Below are 25480 nucleotides of genomic sequence, written 5' to 3'. Positions count from 1 at the left end.
TAAGGTGAACTGTGTGAGCACTCTTAGGGGATTTGCCAGATATGGGGACTCTGCTTAAAGGTGGGCTGTGTATTAAAATGTGAATGTCCAAACTCTGCTGAAGTGACTTGGGAGAAGTGACTTAGTACAGACTATTTGCAGAAGCTCATGAATTCTGTATCACAGCGAGTCATCCCATAATTCTGCAATTGTCTTGCTGATAATGCAGTCTCTGATGGGTTCATCATCACAACTCAAGCAGAAAGACCTGATAAATCTTGTCTGCATAAGGACTTGGCTACTTCCTTCTTGTTCCCCACCTAATCCTTCACCCACTGGCCAGTCCCTTTTGAAGAATGACCTAGAAGCATTTGGCATTGTCTTTGCCTTTTCCTGGCCTTGTGGATATTTGTCATTCCTCTTGGTTGTTGTGGTAGACTTTGTTGGTTGCCTATTCAGTAGCTATTATTCTTTCTCATTATTGAGGCTGAAAAGATCAGATATTGTTTTCCCAGCCTTCCTTGCAGCATGGCATGTGTATAATATGCCAATTATCTATTGCCATAATAATGCTCTGTAAAAAACCTTAGTGGCTTCATGCAACAAACATTTATTTAGCTCATGAGTCAGTGATTGTTGATTTAGCCGGAGCTCAGCTGCGTGGTTCTTCTGGCCTGGTTTCTCTAGGCACACTCACATGTCTGAGGTTGGCTGGCTTTCATGAGGAGATACTGGGGTGATGGAGCCACATGTCTCTCATACTCCATCAGGGAAAGCCCAGGCATGTTCTTATGATAATTGCAGAGGTTGAAAAGTAGAGATACACGTTCTCTTTTGAGGCCATGCCTTAGAGCTAGCACATTGTTACTTTGTGTATATTTAACTGGCCAAGGTAGGTCATAAGTCCAGCCTTGATTTGAGAGGTGAGGAAATACACTCTGCCCCTTAGGTGACAGAAAAAAAAAAATACAAAGTCTCATGGTAAAGAGAGAAAATGCAGAAAGAAATGAAGAATTTGGGCAATTATACCATCAATCAATCATAGTAAATGACATGATCCTAGACAACATGATGCTTTGCATGTGGTGACTGCCTTGCAACCATGAAGGGTCAAGCCTAATGATCAAGCCAATATAATGGGAAAAACAAAGCAGAAAGTTGGAAGTCAAGTTCTTGATGATATAATTGACCCTCTAGACCAAACCTGGAGTCATTTACCTGTGGATATCTTGTTATGTGAGACAATTTACTTTTCTCTCTGTTTAAGTCACTTTAGAAAGATTGGATATTCAGTGACTTGCTGTTGAAAGCATGTCCTTCTGCTAGGCTGGGCATGGTGGCTGATGCCTGTAATCCCAGCACTTTGGGAGGCCAAGGCAGGAGGATCACCTGAGGTCAGGAGTTCAAGACCAGCCTGGCCAACATGGTGAAGCCCAGTTTCTACTAAAAAATACAAAAAATTAGCTGGGTGTGGTGGCAGGCACCTGTAATCCCAGCTACTCGGGAGGCTGAGGCAGGAGAATTGCTTGAACTCAGGAGCTGGAGGTTGTAGTGAACTGAGATCCTGCCATTGCACTCCAGCCTGGGCAACACAGTAATACTCTGTCTTAAAAAAAAAAAGAAAAGAAAAGAAAAGAAAAAAAAGCATGTTCTACTGCTATGGCAACCCATGGATTGAGGCTTCTCTCTTCTCTGTTTTGTGAGTCCCCCACTGTATGAGCAGAGGTCCAGTGCTATGACAGATGCTGGACTTGCTTGCTTTCCCAGGCTCCCTTTCATCAAAGTTATGGGCCTATGACTCAAGTGCTCACATTCACTCCAGAATTTTTTTTTTTTTTTTTTGGTTTTACTCAAATGGCCATAGCATCACTTTATTTTTTTATTTTTTATTTTTTCCCTTTTTTTTTTATTATACTTTAAGTTTTAGGGTACATGTGCACATTGTGCAGGTTAGTTACATATGTATACATGTGCCATGCTGGTGCGCTGCACCCACTAACTCGTCATCTAGCATTAGGTATATCTCCCAATGCTACCCCTCCCCCCTCCCCCCACCCCACCACAGTCCCCAGAGTGTGATATTCCCCTTCCTGTGACCATGTGATCTCATTGTTCAATTCCCACCTATGAGTGAGAATATGCGGTGTTTGGTTTTTTGTTCTTGCGATAGTTTACTGAGAATGATGGTTTCCAGTTTCATCCATGTCCCTACAAAGGACATGAACTCATCATTTTTTATGGCTGCATAGTATTCCATGGTGTATATGTGCCACATTTTCTTAATCCAGTCTATCATTGTTGGACATTTGGGTTGGTTCCAAGTCTTTGCTATTGTGAATAATGCCGCAATAAACATACGTGTGCATGTGTCTTTATAGCAGCATGATTTATAGTCCTTTGGGTATATACCCAGTAATGGGATGGCTGGGTCAAATGGTATTTCTAGTTCTAGATCCCTGAGGAATCGCCACAATGACTTCCACAATGGTTGAACTAGTTTACAGTCCCACCAACAGTGTAAAAGTGTTCCTATTTCTCCACATCCTCTCCAGCACCTGTTGTTTCCTGACTTTTTAATGATTGCCATTCTAACTGGTGTGAGATGGTATCTCATAGTGGTTTTGATTTGCATTTCTCTGATGGCCAGTGATGATGAGCATTTTTTCATGTATTTTTTGGCTGCATAAATGTCTTCTTTTGAGAAGTGTCTGTTCATGTCCTTCGCCCACTTTTTGATGGGGTTGTTTGTTTTTTTCTTGTAAATTTGTTTGAGTTCATTGTAGATTCTGGATATTAGCCCTTTGTCAGATGAGTAGGTTGCGAAAATTTTCTCCCATGTTGTAGGTTGCCTGTTCACTCTGATGGTAGTTTCTTTTGCTGTGCAGAAGCTCTTTAGTTTAATTAGATCCCATTTGTCAATTTTGGCTTTTGTTGCCATTGCTTTTGGTGTTTTGGACATGAAGTCCTTGCCCACGCCTATGTCCTGAATGGTAATGCCTAGGTTTTCTTCTAGGGTTTTTATGGTTTTATGTCTAACGTTTAAATCTTTAATCCATCTTGAATTGATTTTTGTATAAGGTGTAAGGAAGGGATCCAGTTTCAGCTTTCTACATGTGGCTAGCCAGTTTTCCCAGCACCATTTATTAAATAGGGAATCCTTTCCCCATTGCTTGTTTTTCTCAGGTTTGTCAAAGATCAGATAGTTGTAGGTATGCGGCGTTATTTCTGAGGGCTCTGTTCTGTTCCATTGATCTATATCTCTGTTTTGGTACCAGTACCATGCTGTTTTGGTTACTGTAGCCTTGTAGTATAGTTTGAAGTCAGGTAGTGTGATGCCTCCAGCTTTGTTCTTTTGGCTTAGGATTGACTTGGCGATGTGGGCTCTTTTTTGGTTCCATATGAACTTTCAAGTAGTTTTTCCAATTCTGTGAAGAAAGTCATTGGTAGCTTGATGGGGATGGCATTGAATCTGTAAATTACCTTGGGCAGTATGGCCATTTTCACAATATTGATTCTTCCTACCCATGAGCATGGAATGTTCTTCCATTTGTTTGTATCCTCTCTTATTTCCTTGAGCAGTGGTTTGTAGTTCTCCTTGAAGAGGTCCTTCACATCCCTTGTAAGTTGGATTCCTAGGTATTTTATTCTCTTTGAAGCAATTGTGAATGGGAGTTCACTCATGATTTGGCTCTCTGTTTGTCTGTTGTTGGTGTATAAGAATGCTTGTGATTTTTGTACATTGATTTTGTATCCTGAGACTTTGCTGAAGTTGCTTATCAGCTTAAGGAGATTTTGGGCTGAGACGATGGGGTTTTCTAGATAAACAATCATGTCGTCTGCAAACAGGGACAATTTGACTTCCTCTTTTCCTAATTGAATACCCTTTATTTCCTTCTCCTGCCTGATTGCCCTGGCCAGAACTTCCAACACTATGTTGAATAGGAGCGGTGAGAGAGGGCATCCCTGTCTTGTGCCAGTTTTCAAAGGGAATGCTTCCAGTTTTTGCCCATTCAGTATGATATTGGCTGTGGGTTTGTCATAGATAGCTCTTATTATTTTGAAATACGTCCCATCAATACCTAATTTATTGAGAGTTTTTAGCATGAAGGGTTGTTGAATTTTGTCAAAGGCTTTTTCTGCATCTATTGAGATAATCATGCGGTTTTTGTCTTTGGCTCTGTTTATATGCTGGATTACATTTATTGATTTGCGTATATTGAACCAGCCTTGCATCCCAGGGATGAAGCCCACTTGATCATGGTGTATAAGCTTTTTGATGTGCTGCTGGATTCGGTTTGCCAGTATTTTATTGAGGATTTTTGCATCAATGTTCATCAAGGATATTGGTCTAAAATTCTCTTTTTTGGTTGTGTCTCTGCCCGGCTTTGGTATCAGAATGATGCTGGCCTCATAAAATGAGTTAGGGAGGATTCCCTCTTTTTCTATTGATTGGAATAGTTTCAGAAGGAATGGTACCAGTTCCTCCTTGTACTTCTGGTAGAATTCGGCTGTGAATCCATCTGGTCCTGGACTCTTTTTGGTTGGTAAACTATTGATTATTGCCACAATTTCAGCTCCTGTTATTGGTCTATTCAGAGATTCAACTTCTTCCTGGTTTAGTCTTGGGAGAGTGTATGTGTCAAGGAATGTATCCATTTCTTCTAGATTTTCTAGTTTATTTGCGTAGAGGTGTTTGTAGTATTCTCTGATGGTAGTTTGTATTTCTGTGGGATCGGTGGTGATATCCCCTTTATCATTTTTTATTGTGTCTATTTGATTCTCCTCTCTTTTTTTCTTTATTAGTCTTGCTAGCGGTCTATCAATTTTGTTGATCCTTTCAAAAAACCAGCTCCTGGATTCATTGATTTTTTGAAGGGTTTTTTGTGTCTCTATTTCCTTCAGTTCTGCTCTGATTTTAGTTATTTCTTGCCTTCTGCTAGCTTTTGAATGTGTTTGCTCTTGCTTTTCTAGTTCTTTTAATTGTGATGTTAGGGTGTCAATTTTGGATCTTTCCTGCTTTCTCTTGTGGGCATTTAGTGCTATAAATTTCCCTCTACACACTGCTTTGAATGCGTCCCAGAGATTCTGGTATGTTGTGTCTTTGTTCTCGTTGCTTTCAAAGAACATCTTTATTTCTGCCTTCATTTCGTTATGTACCCAGTAGTCATTCAGGAGCAGGTTGTTCAGTTTCCATGTAGTTGAGCGGCTTTGAGTGAGATTCTTAATCCTGAGTTCTAGTTTGATTGCACTGTAGTCTGAGAGATAGTTTGTTATAATTTCTGTTCTTTTACATTTGCTGAGGAGAGCTTTACTTCCAACTATGTGGTCAATTTTGGAATAGGTGTGGTGTGGTGCTGAAAAAAACGTATATTCTGTTGATTTGGGGTGGAGAGTTCTGTAGATGTCTATTAGGTCCGCTTGGTGCAGAGATGAGTTCAATTCCTGGGTATCCTTGTTGACTTTCTGTCTCGTTGATCTGTCTAATGTTGACAGTGGGGTGTTAAAGTCTCCCATTATTAATGTGTGGGAGTCTAAGTCTCTTTGTAGGTCACTCAGGACTTCCTTTATGAATCTGGGTGCTCCTGTATTGGGTGCATATATATTTAGGATAGTTAGCTCCTCTTGTTGAATTGATCCCTTTACCATTATGTAATGGCCTTCTTTGTCTCTTTTGATCTTTGTTGGTTTAAAGTCTGTTTTATCAGAGACTAGGATTGCAACCCCTGCCTTTTTTTGTTTTCCATTTGCTTGGTAGATCTTCCTCCATCCTTTTATTTTGAGCCTATGTGTGTCTCTGCACGTGAGATGGGTTTCCTGAATACAGCACACTGATGGGTCTTGACTCTTTATCCAACTTGCCAGTCTGTGTCTTTTAATTGGAGAATTTAGTCCATTTACATTTAAAGTTAATATTGTTATGTGTGAATTTGATCCTGTCATTATGATGTTAGCTGGTGATTTTGCTCGTTAGTTGATGCAGTTTCTTCCTAGTCTTGATGGTCTTTACATTTTGGCATGATTTTGCAGCGGCTGGTACCGGTTGTTCCTTTCCATGTTTAGCGCTTCCTTCAGGAGCTCTTTTAGGGCAGGCCTGGTGGTGACAAAATCTCTCAGCATTTGCTTGTCTGTAAAGTATTTTATTTCTCCTTCACTTATGAAGCTTAGTTTGGCTGGATATGAAATTCTGGGTTGAAAATTCTTTTCTTTAAGAATGTTGAATATTGGCCCCCACTCTCTTCTGGCTTGTAGGGTTTCTGCCGAGAGATCCGCTGTTAGTCTGATGGGCTTCCCTTTGAGGGTAACCCGACCTTTCTCTCTGGCTGCCCTTAACATTTTTTCCTTCATTTCAACTTTGGTGAATCTGACAATTATGTGTCTTGGAGTTGCTCTTCTCGAGGAGTATCTTTGTGGCGTTCTCTGTATTTCCTGAATCTGAACGTTGGCCTGCCTTGCTAGATTGGGGAAGTTCTCCTGGATAATATCCTGCAGAGTGTTTTCCAACTTGGTTCCATTCTCCGCATCACTTTCAGGTACACCAATCAGACGTATATTTGGTCTTTTCACATAGTCCCATATTTCTTGGAGGCTTTGCTCATTTCTTTTTATTCTTTTTTCTCTAAACTTCCCTTCTCGCTTCATTTCATTCATTTCATCTTCCATTGCTGATACCCTTTCTTCCAGTTGATCGCATCGGCTCCTGAGGCTTCTGCATTCTTCACGTAGTTCTCGAGCCTTGGTTTTCAGCTCCATCAGCTCCTTTAAGCACTTCTCTGTATTGGTTATTCTAGTTATACATTCTTCTAAATTTTTTTCAAAGTTTTCAACTTCTTTGCCTTTGGTTTGAATGTCCTCCCGTAGCTCAGAGTAATTTGATTGTCTGAAACCTTCTCCTCTCAGCTCGTCAAAGTCATTCTCCATCCAGCTTTGTTCTGTTGCTGGTGAGGAACTGCGTTCCTTTGGAGGAGGAGAGGCGCTCTGTGTTTTAGAGTTTCCAGTTTTTCTGTTCTGTTTTTTCCCCATCTTTGTGGTTTTATCTACTTTTGGTCTTTGATGATGGTGATGTACAGATGGGTTTTTGGTGTGGATGTCCTTTCTGTTTGTTAGTTTTCCTTGTAACAGACAGGACCCTCAGCTGCAGGTCTGTTGGAATACCCTGCAGTGTGAGGTGTCAGTGTGCCCCTGCTGGGGGTTGCCTCCCAGTTAGGCTGCTCGGGGGTCAGGGGTCAGGGACCCACTTGAGGAGGTAGTCTGCCCGTTCTCAGATCTCCAGCTGCGTGCTGGGAGAACCACTGCTCTCTTCAAAGCTGTCAGACAGGGACATTTAAGTCTGCAGAGGTTACTGCTGTCTTTTTGTTTGTCTGTGTCCTGCCCCCAGAGGTGGGGCCTACAGAGGCAGGCAGGCCTCCTTGAGCTGTGGTGGGCTCCACCCAGTTCGAGCTTCCTGGCTGCTTTGTTTACCTAAGCAAGCCTGGGCAATGGCGGGCGCCCCTCCCCCAGCCTCGCTGCCGCCTTGCAGTTTGATCTCAGACTGCTGTGCTAGCAATCAGCGAGATTCCGTGGGCGTAGGACCCTCCGAGCCAGGTGTGGGATATAGTCTCGTGGTGCGCCGTTTTTTAAACCGGTCTGAAAAGCGCAGTATTCGGGTGGGAGTGACCCGATTTTCCAGGTGCCGTCCGTCACCCCTTTCTTTGACTCGGAAAGGGAACTCCCTGACCCCTTGCGCTTCCCAGGTGAGGCAATGCCTCGCCCTGCTTCGGCTCGCGCACGGTGCGCACACCCACTGGCCTGCGCCCACTGTCTGGCACTCCCTAGTGAGATGAACCCGGTACCTCAGATGGAAATGCAGAAATCACCCGTCTTCTGCGACGCTCACGCTGGGAGCTGTAGACCGGAGCTGTTCCTATTCGGCCATCTTGGCTCCTCCCCCCTCACTCCAGATTTTAACTTAGAAGGTGGCAATATGAAGAAGCAGCACTTGATCACCTGTGAAGGCCTTGATGGCAATGACCTCTGATTTCTTGATGTGTCATCTCCACTTGTTGAAAATGTGATGTCTGGAAATCCACTGATACATGGATGAAACCTCAGGGAGAGAGATGAATTTGAGCCAGAAAAAGTTTTAGCAGAACCCATAGGGCTGCCTTGATGCTGAGCCAGCACCTTTCCCCACATCTGGCAGCAATTACATACCCATGGAAGACAAAGAAGACCTCTCCTGGTTGAACCTCATCATAAGACTCATATTGCAGGGCAGAAATACCTTGCAGAGACTGGCTCCAAGAATCCCATTCCTAGTACCCTTCTGACTCTGCTTGGCTTGCTCCCACAAGCTATTTTGATCTTTGGAATCTAGTCCCTACCTCTGGACTCAGACTGCCTCTAGCGTGGACCTCCTGGCATTTCAAAGCAGATGCGCTCCTGATGCTAGCTGACTCTTGCTCTGCCCTTCTTTTCCTCCTTAAAATGGCAGATTGAAGTGGAAAAAGTCCTCAGCCCCACTCTTCTGAGAGTCACCCTTCTCAGACACACCTGCCTAAGACACTGACTGACCTCTGTCCTGGCTGTGGCTTCTTGTTCATGTTACAATATTTTCCACAGAACTCTGGGCCACCGTGTTCTGCTACCATGACCCCACATTGACAAGTAAAGATTTTATCTGCTGCACTCTTGTGATTGCCTGAAGACCTGTCTTCACCTGCCACTAGCCTCTACAACCTTCCAGGGCAGACACCAATCTTCATCTTATTGCAGTCTCAGTGCCTTTGATACATAGTAGTTGTTTCACCCAAGCAAGAATTCAGACCAAGCCTCAATAAAGGAAAACTAGAAAATGAAGTGGTGATCATTCAGAGCCATGGCAGGTTCATTAAAAATTAACCCAGTTTCTTTTTCTTTCTTTCTTTCTTTTTTTGATAGAGAAATTAACCATTTTGGGGATTTCTTCCTGTTAATCTGAGGCTTTAGGTATGAAGCAAGGCAAACAAATACAGAGCCATCCTGTTCAGAGAGATTTTCCTAAACATTAGCCTATTATCCATCACTCTTAGCTGGTGCCCTCTTCAGTGCCTTCCTCACTAGACTGTGAGTTCTATCTACAAAGGCAGGAAAGTTATTACTGACTGTCTTCTCAGACTCTGGTGCAGTGAGCTTGGTGCACAGTGAGTATGGCACACAACAGGTGCTTAATAAAGAATGAAATAATGAATTGACATAATCCCACCTGTAGTGGCATAATAATTATCCCCCAAAGATGTCATATCCTAATTCCTGGAATTTGTGAATATGTTACATTACATGGCAAAGGGGAATTAAGGTGGCAGGTGGAGTTAAGGATGCTAATTGGCTGACTTTAACATAGAAAGATAATCCAAGATTATCCTGGTGGACTCCATGTAATCACAAGCATTCTTAGAAGTGGAAGATAGAGGAAGAAGAGGAGGTCAGCGTGATGCAAAGTGAGAAGATCTCGACCTGACATTGTTGGCTTTGAGTATGGAGGAACATGGCCATGATACAAGCAATGGAGGTGGCCTCTAGAAGCTTTGGGAGGAATATCTATACACCAGGTGTTGTTTGAAGCACCAAGGATACAACAAAGTAAGCAGGTAGCCCCTAGAAGCAAGGACGCAGATCTCTCCTGGAGCCCCCAGAAAGGAATGCAGCCTCAACAACACCTTGGTTGTAGCCCAGTGAGATCCATGTGGGACTTTTAACCTACAGAACTTTAAGACAAATAGACTCGGCATGGTGGCTCACTTCTGTAATCCCAACACTTTGGGAGGCTGAGGTGGGTGGATCACCTGAGGTCAGGAGTACTAGAATAGCCTGGCCAACATGGTGAGACTCTGTCTCTACTAAAACTACAAAAATTATCCAGGTGTGGTGTTGGGTGCCTATAATCCCAGCTACTTGGGAGGCTGAGGCAGGAAAATCGCTTGAACCCAGGAGGCAGAGGTTGCTGTGAGCTGAGATTGTGCCCCTGTACTCCAGCCTGGGCTACAGAGCGAGACACTGTCTCCAAACAAACAAACAAACAAACAAAAAACCCAAAAAACAAAACAAAACAAAACTTTAAGACAAATAAATTTGTGTTGCATAAAGCCACTGAGTTGGTGGTAATTTCTTACATGAGCCATAGATAACTAATACACCTCCTCTGACCTCATGCTTCAGAAGGGTGCCTTGCTTACCTTAAAGGCGCATTCTCTGATTTATATCAGACATGCTCATCTGGAGGAAAGCCCCTTGTCTTTGGGCCTGCCCTGCCTATTATTTGTATTAATGACTGATGAGGTTATTGACAGTATTATCGTCCAATGTAGGGGTGCTGTGAGACCTGAAGGAAGAACAGGCTGTTGGATCATGGTCAGACTAAAACCATGGGTTTGAATTTTTTAAATACGAAAGGAACAGGAGCAATTGTAAAGTCCCATGCCTGTGTCAAATAAAATGCACAGGGAGATTGTGACTTTGTCGGTAGTAGCGTGGTGAGGATGGTTTTGTGAATAAATGGCCATTTGGTGGGTGGGCCAGAAAGGACAGAAGCATCAGTTGGGTGACCTAGACCCAGTCTTTTTAATCTCACATATCATCTCCTGGAGGTCTTTACTTTTTAAGGAATCTAGACAAGGACTGAGACTCTGGGAAATTGGTTAATGACCTTCTAGTTTGCAACCAATAAGAACTCCTCTGGGTCTTAGTTTCCTATGTGTGAAATAAGGACCCTTTCAGTTATGACATCTCTGGATCTGTCTGGAGTACGCCCCCCACCTTGCTAGCCTTCTGTCCTCCAAGCCTAGTTCAAATGTCATTGTCTGCTAGTGGCTTTTAGTTACATCTCCACCCTCCTTCAAGCACAGCCTGTTGCTCTTTGTGATTGATTGATTCATTTATTGATTTGCTTTTTGCTATATTTATTATAGTCATTTATCTTCAAGCTTATATTCTAAATGCCTGGATTTATTTAACTCTGTAGCCCCAATGCCTGACAATTAGTAGGTTTTTCTTTTTTAAATAAACCTTTGTTGACTAAAATGGAACTCAAGTTGCAAGTTGTTATTTAGAATCATTTAATTTTAAACACTGGAGCTAGACTTCGGCAATTGCCTAATCAAATATCTCATTTGACCACTGAATAAACTGAGACCCAAAGGGTGAACAGGGACTTGCCCAGGGCACCGCACAGCATGTTTGAGGCAGAGACTAGAACTCAGGGGTCTTGATTTGTGATCCAAATTTCTTCCTACCCATGTGGGCTTTTATTTATCTATCTAGGTTACGGTGTCACTACCTGCTGTAACAGAGAAGTCCTGAGACCTCAGTGGATTCACATCATAGAAGTTTATTTTGTGTTCACATAAAGTCCACTGGCAGTGGGGTTGGCAAAGACACTGCCATCTTCAACACATGACCTCCAAGGTTGCCTTGAGCATCAATGTCCAGCTGGCAGGTGGACAAAGAGAGAACAGAGGAGCACATGGGGGATTTTTATAGGCCAGGCCTGGAAGGGGCATTCCCTGCTTTTGGCCATAGTCCATTGGCTGAAACACAGCCTAGGAGATGTAGTCCAGCTGTGAGCTGAGGAGGAAAGGGAAGCTGGTTTAATGGACAGATAGCCAGTCTCTGCTGCTGCATGCTAGCTCCTTGTATGGGTTTCTACTTCTATCATTGTATTTTAATTTTTTATATACCTACACAGAAGAGTCCCATAGGCCATAAAAGAGCTAAAATTATATCAAGCAATGTTGATACTATTACTGTTGTTGTTACTTACACTAATAATAGAGGGGGAGTAGCAGACAGGAACCAGTGTGAACTACTTCCCAGTGTTTAACCCAAAACACGTTTTGCCAGGCAATTTCCCCTTAATCTTTAGACCTGTGTGTATTTCAAGGGAAATTTAATCCTTGTGTTTCTGATTCATTTGCACTTAACTCATCAAAATGTTGCTTTGTAAGGCACGTTTGATGTACAAGAAGGCTCATAAGCCTTTTCATAAGCCTTTCAAATGCCTTTTCTCTTTGAAGCCAAAGTTTGTGCTCTTCCAGCACTAAACAGAGCTAAAACCTGGAAAGTCTTCCATTACCTTCCACCCCAGAGGCCACAAATTAAGGTGGTTTGAACAGGTAAGCAGTGGAGGCTGCTCCCGTTTCCTGAGTGGAAAGAAAACAACACCATATGGTTAAATGCCCATGGAGAGTGAGGACATAACCACTGTATTATTCCCTCTTGCCTCCAGGTGTTGGCTCCTGCTGGCCCATTGCCTGCAAAGCCAGAGCTCTCCCGCATTGCTTACTTATAGAAAAGGCCATCTCTTTCAATACTCAGATTTCTTCACCTCTCTAAAATCCTATTTTATTTTATTTTATTTTATTTTATTTTATTTTGAGATGGAGTTTCGCTCTTTTGCCCAGGCTGTAGTGAAGTGGGTGATCTCGGCTCACTGCAACCTCTGCCCCCTGAGGTTCAAGCGATTCTCCTCCTCCAGCCTCCCAAATAGCTGGGATTACAGATGCATGCCACCACACCTGGTTAATTTTTGTATTTTTAGTAGAGATGGGGTTTTGCCATGTTGGCCAGGCTGGTCTTGAACTCCTGACCTCAGGTGATCCACCCGCTTTGTCCTCCCAAAGTGCTAGGATTACAGTTGTGAGCCTCTGCGCCTGGCCTCTAAAGTCCTCTTGACTGCTCTCAAGAGCAATGAGTATTTATTCCTTTCTTTGTACCTCCCTATATCCTACCATAATAATAATAGTTAATAGTTAACATTAACTGAGTACTAATTACATGCAAGGTACTCTTCTAAGTCCCTTACTTGTGTTAGCTCACTTAACCCTCCCAACAGCTCCATAAGGTAGGCATTATTTTCAGTGTTCTTTTACAGATGAGGAAACCAAAGAACAGAGTAAGTAAGACCTTGCCCAAGGTCCCACAGTAGGAGAGCCAGCAAAGGACCTATAATGTTTAACTACATTTAACCACAGAATCTGCTAAGCTGTCTGAAGGGAGCTGCTTATTCCTGTGTCTTATTATCAGAGATCCTGGCCCTTAAAAACCCCATGAGAGGCTGGATAGTGTGGCATGGAAGAACATGGAGCCAAATCCTGCCCCTGATGCTTTATTTTTTGAGATGTTAGACAAGATGTTTAACCACTGGATGCTTCGTTTTCTTCGTTGTCAAATAGGGATGATGAAAGAACCTATCTTGCAGGGTTGTTGTGAGGATTAAATGAGCTAATCCGTGTAAAGCTCTTAAAACACTGCCTGACCCATGGAATGTGCTTAGTGAGTGTTAGATATTATAACCGAATGGAGAAAAGGAGATGTGGATGGCATGGATATCTAGTTTTCCAGGGACAAGATTCTGGAAGGGTCAGGGAATGTTTTGGAAGACAGGCTCAGGATGCACAAAAGATCTCAGCATTATGATTTCAGATTGAATCCTACAAGATAAAACATCATGGGGATAACTGAGAATCCTGTGCTGATGTCTAAACACCAGCAGCACAGGCTTTGTATGGCAGGGAAATACAGCTAAGACTCTGTACCTGTCAATGACACACAGATATTTGCACCGATAGTGTCCCCAACTCCGTTATATGCTACTGGCCACCTTAAGCTGCGCTATTAGGAATGTGTTGCCTAGAATAAGGAGAAGGCTGCCTTGTCCTTTTATGTACTTGATGCATGCCAGGAGAAATTCAGTTATTTGTGAAATTCCACTTTGTGATTTTTACTTCTAATACATTTCTTCTGATTATAAAATATAGTTGCTGTTGCCAATTTAGAAAACTTAGAGAAAAACGAGGACAAAAAAGGAGATAATCCATAATTGTACAACCACCTCTTGTTTGGCATATTTCCTTCTCTGTAGTCTTTTATATACATACACATATTGCAGATGTGAGCTGAGATTTCTTGATCCCTTGATATGTAGATACATTTGGCTTAGATTCTCATTCCACACTTTACAGGAGTTCAAACATCTCCTCAAGATTGTGCAGATATCTCAGGAACTTATATTTTTGCCACCACCTCTGGCTTAGATTTCTTGTCTCCCACAAATTCTTGTTCTTGGAGTTCTTTTTGTTTTTTTTATATTTAAGAAGTGTCCCGAGGCTGGGTGCGGTGGCTCACGCCTGTAATCCCAGCACTTTGGGAGGTCGAGGCGGGCGAATCATGAGGTCAGGAGATCGAAACCATCCTGGCTAACACGGTGAAACCCCGTCTCTACTAAAAAAATACAAAAAATTAGCCAGGCGCCGTGGCGGGCGCCTGTAATCCCAGCTACTTGGGAGGCTGAGGCGGAATGGCCTGAACCCAGGAGGCAGAGCTTGCAGTGAGCTGAGATCACGCCACTGCACTCCAGCCTGGGTGACAGAGCAAGACTCTGTCTCAAAGAAAAAAAAAAAAAAAAAAAAGAAGTGTCCCTGTCATGCATGGAGATGATGGCTCTTTCTTCTTAGTTGCCTTTGCCAGTGGAAACATACACATAAGACTGTGGCATGCAGAACTTTTCCTGAAGGATTGTGGGTAGCAGGGAGGAGCCTCATTGCACTGCAACCAGCAAACAACCCAAGCAAACAACTGGAAAGCATACTTCAAATCCATTTGTTCTTATTAAATGCTTTTGGCCACTGTCTTAGTCTGCTATTCTGTTGTACTGCTACAACAGAATACCTGAGACTGGGTAATTTATAAAAAAATTTAATTTATAAAAAAACAGACATTTATTTCTCACAGCTCTGGGGGCTGGGAAGTCCAAGATCAAGGCACTGGCATTAGATGTGGTGAGGGCCTTCTTGCTGTGCTCTCACATGGCAGAAGGTGGAAGGGCAAGCTAGCGAGTTACCTGCATGCAGCATGAAGCCTCTTCTATTATGTAAGGGCCTTAATCTCATTAACAAGGGAGAACTCGTGACTTAATTACCTCTTAAAGGCTCCACTTCTTAATGCCTTCACATTGGCAACACCTGAATTTTGGACGAAAAACATTCAAACCTTAGCAGCCACTCTCATATCTCTATCTCACAATCCATGTTTCATCAGTACATCCTATTAGCTCTACTTTTAAAACACAGTCATGCACTACATAACGGTGTTTTGATTAACAATGGAGGTAGCCATCATGTTGTAGTGCAATGCATTACTCACAGGTGTGTGGGGATGATGGTGTAAGCAAATCTATATAAAAGTATAGCACATGCAATTACATACAGCACGTAATACTTGATAATGAAAATAAATGACTGTAACTGGTTGATGTGTTCACTATGCTATCTTTTGATTGTTATTTTAGATTGTACCCCTTCTACTTATTAAAATAAAGTTAACTGTAAAACAGCCTCAGGCAGGTCCTTCAGGAGGTATTTCAGAAGAAGGCATTGTTATCATAGGAGATGACGGCTCTATGCATGTTACTCCCCCTAAAGACCTTCCAGTGGGATATGGAGGTGGAAGATAGTGAGGCTAATGATCCTGACCCTGTGTAGGCTTAGGCTAATGTGTGTGTTTGCATCTTAGTTTTTAACAGAAAAGTGTAAAGAGTAAAAATAAATAAATTTTAAAAGTAGAAAAAAGTTTAGAGAATCAGGGTATAAAGAAAGAAAATATTTTTTATACAGCTGTGCGAAGTATTTTTGTTTTAAGCTAAGTGTTATTACAAAAGAGTCAAAAAGTTAAAAAAATTAAAATGTGTATAGACTAATAAAGGTAACCTTAGAAAATATATTTTCTAAGAAAAAAATGTATTTTCTTAGAAAGAAAAAGATTTTTTTTATAAATTTAGCATAGCTTAAGTGTATAGTGTTTATAAAGTCTACAGTAGTGTACAGTAATGTCCTAGGCCTTCACGTTCAATCACCACTGACTTACTGATTCACTCAGAGCAACTTCCAGTCCTGTAAGCTTCATTCATGTTAAGTGCACTAGACAGGTATACCATTTTTTTATCTTTCATACCATATTTTTTACTGTACATTTTCTATGTTTAGATATACAAATGCTTACCATTTTGTCATAATTGCCTACAGTATTCAGCACAGTAACGTGGTGTACAGGTTTACAGCCTAGGAGCAATAGGCCAAGCCACGTAGCCTGGGTGTGTAGTAGGTTATACCATCTAGGCTTGTGTGAGTTCCCTCTATGATGTTCACAGCACTATGAAATCACCTAATGACGTATTTCTCATTTCCAGGATTCAACAGCACAGTAGGATGGCTGCAGTTAACAACGATGTACTGTATATTTAAAAATAGCTAGAAAAGAAGATTTGAAATGCCCTCAAAACAAAGAAATGATAAATGTTAGAGGTGATGGATATCCTAAATACTCTGATTTGATCATTACACATTCTATACATGTATCAAAGTATCAAATGTGTCCCATACATTTCTACAAATATTATGTATCAATAAAAAATGTAAATTAGGTACCAACACTTCTCCCCTCAATTCACCCGCCATGGGTTTCCATTCCTGAGGACTGCCTCTAAGACCATTTGTGATCTGGCCTCTTGCTTGCCTCTGCCTCATCTGCTGCTGCTTCCTGCCTATGTATTACATTCCAGATGCAAAGAAATGCTTTTCTCTTCCTTCCTGTGACCTTTGCGCTGCTGTTCCTTCTGCCTAGAAGGATTTTTCCTAGATACTTTCCTGATGCACACTGTGTGTCTTAAGTCCAATGCAAGACCAGTGTACCTTTGGTTCTGAGGTCATGCCATGCCTAGAGGAGGAGGTGACACTACTGAGGCAAGATTCCATTTTAACTCTCAAAGGTTGAATTATGGTTAGGATTGCCTAATGAATGAGATGCAGAATTGAATCAACAGTTCCCTTTCTTCTATCCCTCAGGCACCATATATTAGATGCTCAATAAACTTCAGCACCTTTGACTTATGATGGTGGTGATTATGATGAAAATGAACATGAATCAAGCATGTGCAAAGTGTAGATGCTGTTCTGAGCACTTTGCATGCATTCATTGAGAAAAAAACTGTTATCTCCATCTTACAATGAGGAAACTGAGGAACAGGGAGGTTAGGCAATGAACTCAATGACACTCAATTATTATTATTTTTGAGACGGAGTTTCACTCTTGTTGCCCAGGCTGGAGTGCAATGGCGTGATCTTGGCTCACCGCAACCTCCACCTCCCGGGTTCAAGCGATTCTCCTGCCTTAGCCTCCCTAGTAGCTGGGATTATAGGCATGTACCACCACGCCCGGCTAATTTTGTATTTTTAGTAGAGACGGGGTTTCTCCATATTGGTCAGGCTGGTCTTGAACTCTCGACCTCAGGTGATCTGCCCGCCTTGGCCTCCCAGAGTGCTGGCATTACAGGCATGAGCCACTGCGCCTGGCTGACACTCAGTTACTAAATATTGGAGGCAGGATCCAAACCCAAGCCTAATAATGACATTTATTAAATAAAGTGTACATTATTAGCTGAGTGTTTTTATATAACTTATTAAATCCTTAGTTCAGCCCTGGGGTGTATGTGTCATTGTCTCAATTTTACCGATGAGGACATGGACATTTCCAGACTTAAGTAATTGACCCAAGGTCACCTAGTGTGTAAGTGCAGGGTCAGGCTTTGAACTAGATCTGTTCTGCCTTCAAGTGCAGTCTGGCTCTGCACTTCAGGGCTGCATGCTATCACTCAGATTCAGAAAGAGATCATTGAGCACATAGCCTCTCCCTGTACCCACATCCAAGCATTGTACGCACTGGGAAACAGTGCTTCATTTATTACATGTGGCGGGTGAAGTTATACATAAAAAACCGTGACACTAATGCCATTATATTAAAAGTGCAAAGATTCCAATAAGTTTCTGAGCACACGCGTTACAGTAGTCTTCTCTCTCTCCCCAAGCGAGTGTACAGCTTTCTGTTGATTTGCTTCGCCTCACACAGTTATTACAGCATGATTTCCCCCAGTGTCCCAGCCTCCCTTCAGCTCTCATTTAGATTTCCTTCTTAGACGCAGCCATTTAAATGCATATCAGCAGCAATTGAACCCACCAGATTTCTTTCCCGATTAGCTGGGAAGATGGTCCTGTTAGTTATCTGTGAGCAGAGTAAAAAATCTCGAGGGTTGGGCAAAATTGCTTTGTGACATGACCTGGTTTTGACTGCACTGGCAGAAGGATGACTTGCAGTGAGCTCCAAGGGGGATAGGCTTGTTGGGGAGGGCATGGGAAGGTAGGTAGGGAAGGGAATGTAGAGAGAGGTGTGTGGGCTTGGGTGCATGGAGGTTGGCAGACGTATGTATCGGCATGAGGCTAAATAAGTGGGATGGATTGTTCATGACAGTAGGTTTTAGATGACAAAGGAGATATGTGTGTGTGTAAGGTGGTGGAGGGGCATAAATTGTTTGGATGGATGGATGGATGTGTATGTTGTTGGGGTCTCAGAGGCAACTCAATGGTGGCGCGGGGGACATGCCTTTCAACATGGCAGCCCACTCAGGCAGGATTTTGGGCAAGAAGGTGCACAGGAGAACTGCACTCTCAGCTTAAGCTTGTTCTCAAGAAGGAAGGCTGAGCTGATCTGAGCTGATATGAGTGTGCTCAGTGTCTCTTCTCCAATTCACAAATCAGCTATCAAGAGTCTCTGCAGGTCCCCTGGGCAGACAGAGACAAGGAATAGAGAAGCCAGGAGTTACACTAATTGCACCCTTATCACCGGGAGGAAACATCAGGGGCCGAGAAGAAGTGCTCCCTGTTTTCATATGAGCAGACTGTGAGCTCCATCACTGCTGTCCTCCCAGCATGGCACCTGAGCCCCTGCAGGTGCTCCATTATGTGTGGTGCAAGAGAATGATGGGGTGTAGATAGACCAGTGCTCCCAAAGTGGTCAGGTAATTGAGTGATGTGTGGGTTTGGTGATATCTGGGGCAAGAGTGTGAATATTTGGAGAAATCAAGGAGTGTTTAAGAGACTGTGCCTGTAAGCATGAGGGCTGTGCACTTGGGTGTACAAAGGAGACTGTGTGCTGGGTGGATGTGAAGGTGAGTGTGTGTGTGTGTGTGTGAGAGAGAGGGTGGTGGGGAGGAGAGAGAGACAGAGATGGAGACAGACATAGAGACAGAGAGACAGAAAAATAGTAAGAGAGAGACAGAAAGAAAGAGGGCAGGAGGGTGAGAGAGAGATGGAGAGACAAAGAGACATAGAGAAAGAGACAAACAGGAAGAAGAGACAGGGAGAGAGATTCAAAGACAAAGAAATAGAAAAGGGTGGGGCGAGAAAGACAAACACATGAACACACACACACAGGGTCAGGCAGAGAGGCGCAAAGAGTTGGCGGATGTTTTCCATTTCTTTTCCTGTCACTCTCTCAACTTTCCCTTTTCTCTTCCTAGTCCCCCTTGTACTTTTTCTTTTTTGCCCTCAGGCATTGTGAGGGTAGATGACACATTCACCTCAACACACGTGAGGGCAATGGCGTCCCACGCTCACACACAATGCTCAGACTCCTACGCACTGCACACACACAGCTCCTTGAGGGGAGTGCTCTCACGGAGGCAGTGATGGCATGCTGCCATGGAGGACAGCTGACAATGACTGAGTGCCGTCTGTCTACTAGGCTCTGTGCAGAGCACCGGGCACCAACTCATTTAATGCTGATGAGACAGCTATTGTGAACACCTGGTGTAAGAAGAGGAACATGAGGCTCAGAGAGGGGAAGAGACTCAGTTTGCTGGCCCCCTTCCCATGGGTCTCTAAAGGTTACATTCACTGACTGTCCCTTTTCCCCTCTCCTCTTTAGGCAACAGGAGCCCCTTTCTCTTTCCTGCCTGGCCCCTTTGTCCTCACCTCCACCCTGAACACCCCTTTCCTGGCCTGTCTGCAGGCATCCAAGACAGCAGGTATCTGCCTCAGAATTGGGTTCCCACCCTGGGGTCCTGAAGACAGCTGGCTTGGTGGCCCAAAAGGTCATGAGACAGAGTGTGGAGAAGGCTAGGATTTAGAGTCGGGTAGACTTGGGTTTGAACCATGGTGTTATGGTCTAATGATGTCGTCTCAGCAGAACGCTCCTCTTTGCTGATGTTTACTTGCCTCATTTGCAAAATGGAGATGATTAAACCTGCTTCCTATGGCTGCTGAGGGGATTGAGTGTCCAATAGTACCTTCCACAGAATGCTCAGCTCAGAGTAAGCATCTAGTGAAAGCCGGCTCCTTACTTGTACGCAGCTTCTTTCCTCCTTCCCTGCATTTGGCCACAGTCAGAGGCCAATGTCTTGGCCATCAGAAAGGAAAGCCGAGGACATCACCCATCAATTTGCCTCATTTCCCTCTCTCAATTTCCTTCAGAGCTACCATTTTATTGTTTTATTTGTTTATTTAAGATAGAGTTTCACTCTGTGGCCCAGGCTGGAGTGCAGTGGCGCCATCTTGGCTCACTGCAACCTCCACCTCCTGGGTTCAACAATTCTCCTGCGTCAGCCTCCTGAATAGCTGGGACTACAAGCGCGCATCACCATGCCTGGCTAATTTTTGTATTTTCAGTAGAGACAGGGTTTCACCATGTTGCCCATGCTGGTCTTGAACTCCCAGGCTCAAGTGATCCACCCGCCTTGGCCTCCCAAAGTGCTGGGATTATAGGCATGAGCCACCGTGCCCAGTCTTTTTATAAATTTTAATTGCTTTTTGTTTTGTTTTGTTTTGTTTTTTTTTGAGACAGAGTTTCAGTATTGTTGCCCATGTCGGAGTGCAATGGCGCGATCTCGGTTCACTGCAACCTCTGCCTCCCGGGTTCAAGTGATTCTCCTGCCTTAGCCTCCCGAGTAGCTGGGATTACAGGCATGCGCCACCATGCCCAGCTTATTTTGTATTTTTAGTAGAGACAGGGTTTGTCCATGTTGGTCAGACTGGTCTTGAACTCCCCACTTCAGGTGATCCTCGGCCTCCCAAAGTGCTGAGATTATAGGCGTGAGCCACAGCGCCCAGCCTCTCTACATCTCTACCAACCAACTAGACTCAAGATGGCTGAAATCAAACTCAAATCTTTGTTCATAAACCCACTTGTGTTTTGTAAGAGCCTTATATGGTAGGTACCATGATTAGTCTTGCATTACAGAGGAGAAAACCAAAGCTTAGAGAAGGCAAGCCACTTGCCTAAGGTTACACAGCTAGTAAAGTGTCAAAGTTGGGATTAGATTTGGGCCTCTTAGAGCTTAAGCTTAGGTCCGTTGCCAATACCAGGCTGCCTCCCTTATGTGAGAGTGCCAATTGCAAAATGGTACAGGTGAGAGAAGGTCACCCAGACCTCCACCTCATCCCCTACTGGAGGGCCCAGCCCATGCCTGGCCTAGGGTGAAAGTTCCTGGTAGAGGTTTGGAGGTTGAGTTGAGGTGCTTCCTCACTGTCTTTTTGGTCACACCAGCTGCAGAATCAGCCCATTAGCAAGTCGCCCCCAGTGCAGAAAAGACTTTCCTGACAAACTGTCAGAGGCTGGCTCAGAGGCAGGCAAGGAGGCCAGAGTGTGGCAGGGGGAGGAGGGGACCGCCAGCCCTGCTGGATCCATAATCTAATGCCAAGGCCATGTCTTCAATCAGTTTCATCTCTGCTAAACATTCAGTGAAGTTTTTTCTTTTTTACTTTCCAAATAACCGAGCATTACAAGGAGAGGCAGGTGGAGGTCATGGCTGAGCCCAGGCACTGGGGTCAGCCAGACGGCTCCGCCTCCAGCAGGGACACACGGGAGTTGTGTCGTGTGGTTCTAAGTTGGCCCTTCACCTCTCTGGGCTCCAGAGGCCCTGGTTGTAAGGCAGTGATAATCCCTACCATTTCAGGCCTGGCATGAAGAAAGTACGTTCAAGCAGAAAGCTAGAGCAGAGTGTCTGAGCTGAGGTTTGTTTCCAAAGCTGGGCTTGACATGTCCCTCCCTAGCCAAGTGACCCAGGGCAAGTCACTGGTTCCCACAGGGCCTCAGTAATCTTGCCATGTAAAACAAAGACAAAGGGATCTCCCTCATGAGGTGAGGCAGGGATTAAATGAGTGAATACATTTGATCCTTTGGCATACTGCCTCGCACATGATAAGCAAGCAGAAAGTTAAAAATAGAAACAAAACCCCCGCCAACAACTAACCAACCTGTGGTTTTCAATCCTTACAAAAAGCCTGTTTTGTGGGGTTTGTTATCTCCATTGTGCAGAGGAGGGGACTGAGCTTCGGAGAGTTTCATGAACTTGCTCAAAGTCATACAGAACAGGGGTGAGATCTAACCCTGGGTGGTCGGACTCCAAAAGGCCTTTTTTCATTTCTACAATCCACAGAGGCAAAGCTGGAGGCAGCCGGGATTTACCCAGCCAGGAGGCCTCAGTCCTGCCCATCGTTCCCCTGAGAGGAGGAGCTGGCTATTCTGCTTGGACATCGGGCTGTGGGGAGGGCCCATCCTGAGGGCATATCTTCAGAAGAAGGATTCCTCCCAGGACTTTCAGGGCATCCTGAGGGAGTTGGGAAATGAAATAATGCAAAAGCCACAACTTAGGGACCAATTAATATGCACCAGGAGCAGAGCTGAGCACCTAAGGCATAAGGAAAGTGAGGCTGGAGAGGTGAATGCATTTGACCTCTTATCCTCATTATGTAACTGCTGGATATCAACCTTGCACGGAGTCTTGGTTTCCGTCTGCACACCTCCCCAGACAGGCTGCAATGGCAAAAGCCCATAGGTGTGTCTTAGGCATTCTTTCCACCTGAATTTTCCTATCTGAGTGCAGAGGCCTCTGACCCTGGCCCACCCATGTGGGAGTGAAGATCACAGCAGCCCAAAGCAAGAGCCAGAGTGGAGAAGACATCCTTGGCTGCCGCTGGGGTCCCATAAGCCAGCTTCTACCATGTGTGCTCCTGAAAAATCTCCTGAAATTCTAGTGATCCCCTCAAACAAATCTCCCAAGGATGCTCATTGGCTGTTAAACTCCTGAAGTTACTGTAAGATGCTGAGGACACTTGCAGCACATTTGGATTTGTCTCTCCAGCTTTCCCTATTGACAACCATCCCTCTTGAATCAGAGAATGCAGAAGAGAAACCACCAGGCTTCCCTGAGACTTCCCAGAGGGGAGTGTCTCTTTTACTGGCAGTGGAGGCATTCAGTTTACAAGGCATCTGCCTTGCCCAAGCCTCCTCTCTGGTCCTCTTCCATCTGGAGCCCGGGTCTCTCCTCTCTTAGTTATCGACACTTAAATTCACAGCAAGTTGACCAGGAATGAGGGGAAGGGGTCATGGAGATTTTCTTGTCCATCTCCCTCACTTGCGGTGGGAAAACTAGGGAGGTGGGAGGGTTTGTCCAAGTTCGTGGAATAAGTCCATGGTATAGCCAAGACCACAACCTGTGTACCTGTGTCTTTTTTTATTTTATTTTTTTAACTTAGTGGGAGTAAGGGCTGTGCGAAAAGACCATTTGCAGTCAGGCTGTGGTGCCAAATAACCATCATTGTCTTTTCCCTTCCCCTCTCCCTCTTCCCCCTCCTCTTCTTCCTCCCCTTCACCCTCCTATCATTCTCATCCAACAACAATAGCATCATCAAAAGCAGACAAAGCAGTTGTTCAGTGAAAACTTTCCATGTGTCAGGCATTGCACCAACTTTAAAAAATTGTTTACTTTAACCCCCATAATGACCTCATGAGATTGACATTATTTTTCCCATCTCAGAGATGAGCAAAGTGAGGTTTAACAAGGTTAAAAGAAGTTTCCCAACCAGCGAACCCAGGTAAGCCTAGCCAGGCTTTAAACCACTACATTATTCTGCCAGTGTCTCTGATGTGAGACAAATTTGAGAAGATCTGCTATCTACCTACTGTGTGGCTTTAGGTAAGTCATTTTACCTCTTTGAGTCTCAGTTTCCTCATCTATAAAATGAGGCTTTTAATAATATTATCCCCGCCTTGCCTCAGAGAATTATTGGAGGCTTTAGTTAGGAGATAGCAGAAAGGGCTTTGCAAATTGTGAAATGCAGTGGGCCCAGTGGTTTGATGAGAATGGGCACACAGTGGGGTTCCTCTGTTAAAGCCCAGCACCTGGCATATGTATAGCAGGCGAATAAGAAATACTTAAAGAATAAATGAATGATTGTCAATCTGCATGGCCCCTTCCCCTCCCCAGCAATTCTATTCCCTAAAGACATGGGATTCTGACCCACTGAATTCTCCAGTACTTCTGTCTAACTGGAGGGAGATATAGTACAACTTCTTGCCTAAAACCTTTGTGTCTCTATGTTCTGTCACCTATGGAAAGCCTAGGGTCTAAAAAATGTGTGGTTCCGTCCTCACAGCCTCCAGGGCTCAGTGTCCCCTGGAGGTTATCAGTATGGGCTTAGGAAAGAGGCCTGGAACTGTGGGCGAGGGACAGAGGCGGGCTGTCCCTTCAAAGCTTCTCCTTCTTCCTTTTTTATTTTTAATTTCATTTTTTTCTTTATCCAAAGGCTGCAGAGCTGAAATAATTTATTTTGGATTTGAATAGGATGTGATAAGCCGAAGAAGGGGCAGCCTGGGTGGACATGGTGGAAGCATTAAGTTTTAAATTAGTCGCTTGATGCTGGTTTGGGGACCAGAGCAAGGGCTCTGGCTGACAAAGAGGCGCCTGAGTCCTCCTGGCTGGCTGCAGTGGTGGGTGGTGTGGGAAGGAAGAGCATGCTGCCAAATGGGCTGTTGCAATAGATTAGGGGTCAGGCATCCTGGATGCCTGCCTGGTTTTACCTTAGGACCATTACAGGCTTCCTCGTCCATTTCACTGCTTCTACTTTTAAGCTGTGTGATCTTGGACAAGTCACTTCCCCTCTGAAAGCCTCAGTTTTCTCATGCATTGAATGGGGATAGTAGTTCCCTCTAACAAAGGTATTGCAAAAACTTTTTCCATACAGGGCCAGTTCATAAATATTTTAGGATTTACAGGCCAGATAGTCTTTGTTGCAATTGTTCAGCTCTGCTGTTGTAGTATGAATGTAATCATAGACACTATATAAACAAATGGATGGTGGGTATAGTTTTAAAAATTATTATTTACAAAAGCAGACAGCAGGCAGCATTTGGCCCACGGGCCATACTTTGTGCACTCCTGTTCTAATATCATTGGGAAAGCTCAGTGGGGTCACAGGTGTGAAGTACTGGGTTTGTTACCTCCGCTGTAAGAGGTGCCCCCAAAGTTAATTTTCCTCTTAATATCAGCCTCCTCAAGTCAATCTCCATGGACTGAGCTTTCTAAATCCCAGCTGTGATAATGTCACCTATCTGCTTAAAAATCCCAAATGGCTCCCTGCTGTGTGCAGAATGAAGTCCAAATGCCTTTTCTTGGCACTAGAAACCCTTCAAAATTGCCCACCATTTCTACAGCCCTAATCATTTTATTTTCTCTCTGGACTAGCCAGTTTCTTTATCCACTTGGGGATAAGCCGAAAACTCTCATGTTTCTGGTCCTTTGCATTTGCTGCTTTGGGGCTCTCTGTTCTTCCCCATTTTCCTGTGAACTTTCCTCATCCTTTAAAGGCCCATGCCAATGGTCCGT

The 25480-nt window shown here is 44.0% G+C and overlaps 1 long non-coding RNA gene across 1 annotated transcript, besides 2 other annotated features; it reads right to left on the bottom strand.

The window, feature by feature from the left end:
• Nucleotides 7082–7676: an enhancer, noted in NCBI's record as "H3K27ac-H3K4me1 hESC enhancer chr9:122817744-122818338 (GRCh37/hg19 assembly coordinates)". NCBI's record gives its function as "activates a minimal SCP1, AML or CMV promoter by ChIP-STARR-seq in naive H9 embryonic stem cells {active_cell/tissue: H9 hESC(naive)}" and the evidence as "EXISTENCE:reporter gene assay evidence [ECO:0000049][PMID:30033119]".
• Nucleotides 7677–8272: an enhancer, noted in NCBI's record as "H3K27ac-H3K4me1 hESC enhancer chr9:122817148-122817743 (GRCh37/hg19 assembly coordinates)". NCBI's record gives its function as "activates a minimal SCP1, AML or CMV promoter by ChIP-STARR-seq in naive H9 embryonic stem cells {active_cell/tissue: H9 hESC(naive)}" and the evidence as "EXISTENCE:reporter gene assay evidence [ECO:0000049][PMID:30033119]".
• Nucleotides 11301–12133, bottom strand: LOC124902259 (uncharacterized). The gene is made up of 2 exons (XR_007061750.1): nt 12065–12133; nt 11301–11556 (listed from the first exon to the last, which is right to left on the bottom strand). It is a non-coding gene; the product is annotated as an uncharacterized LOC124902259 (long non-coding RNA).
• Between the last annotated feature and the right edge of the window lie 13347 nt (nt 12134–25480).

Source organism: Homo sapiens, chromosome 9 (assembly GCF_000001405.40).
Source record: "Homo sapiens chromosome 9, GRCh38.p14 Primary Assembly".
NCBI classification, from domain to species: Eukaryota; Metazoa; Chordata; class Mammalia; order Primates; family Hominidae; genus Homo; species Homo sapiens.
The sequence above is the reverse complement of the archived record's forward strand: the minus strand, read 5'-3'. Positions and strand labels throughout refer to the sequence as shown.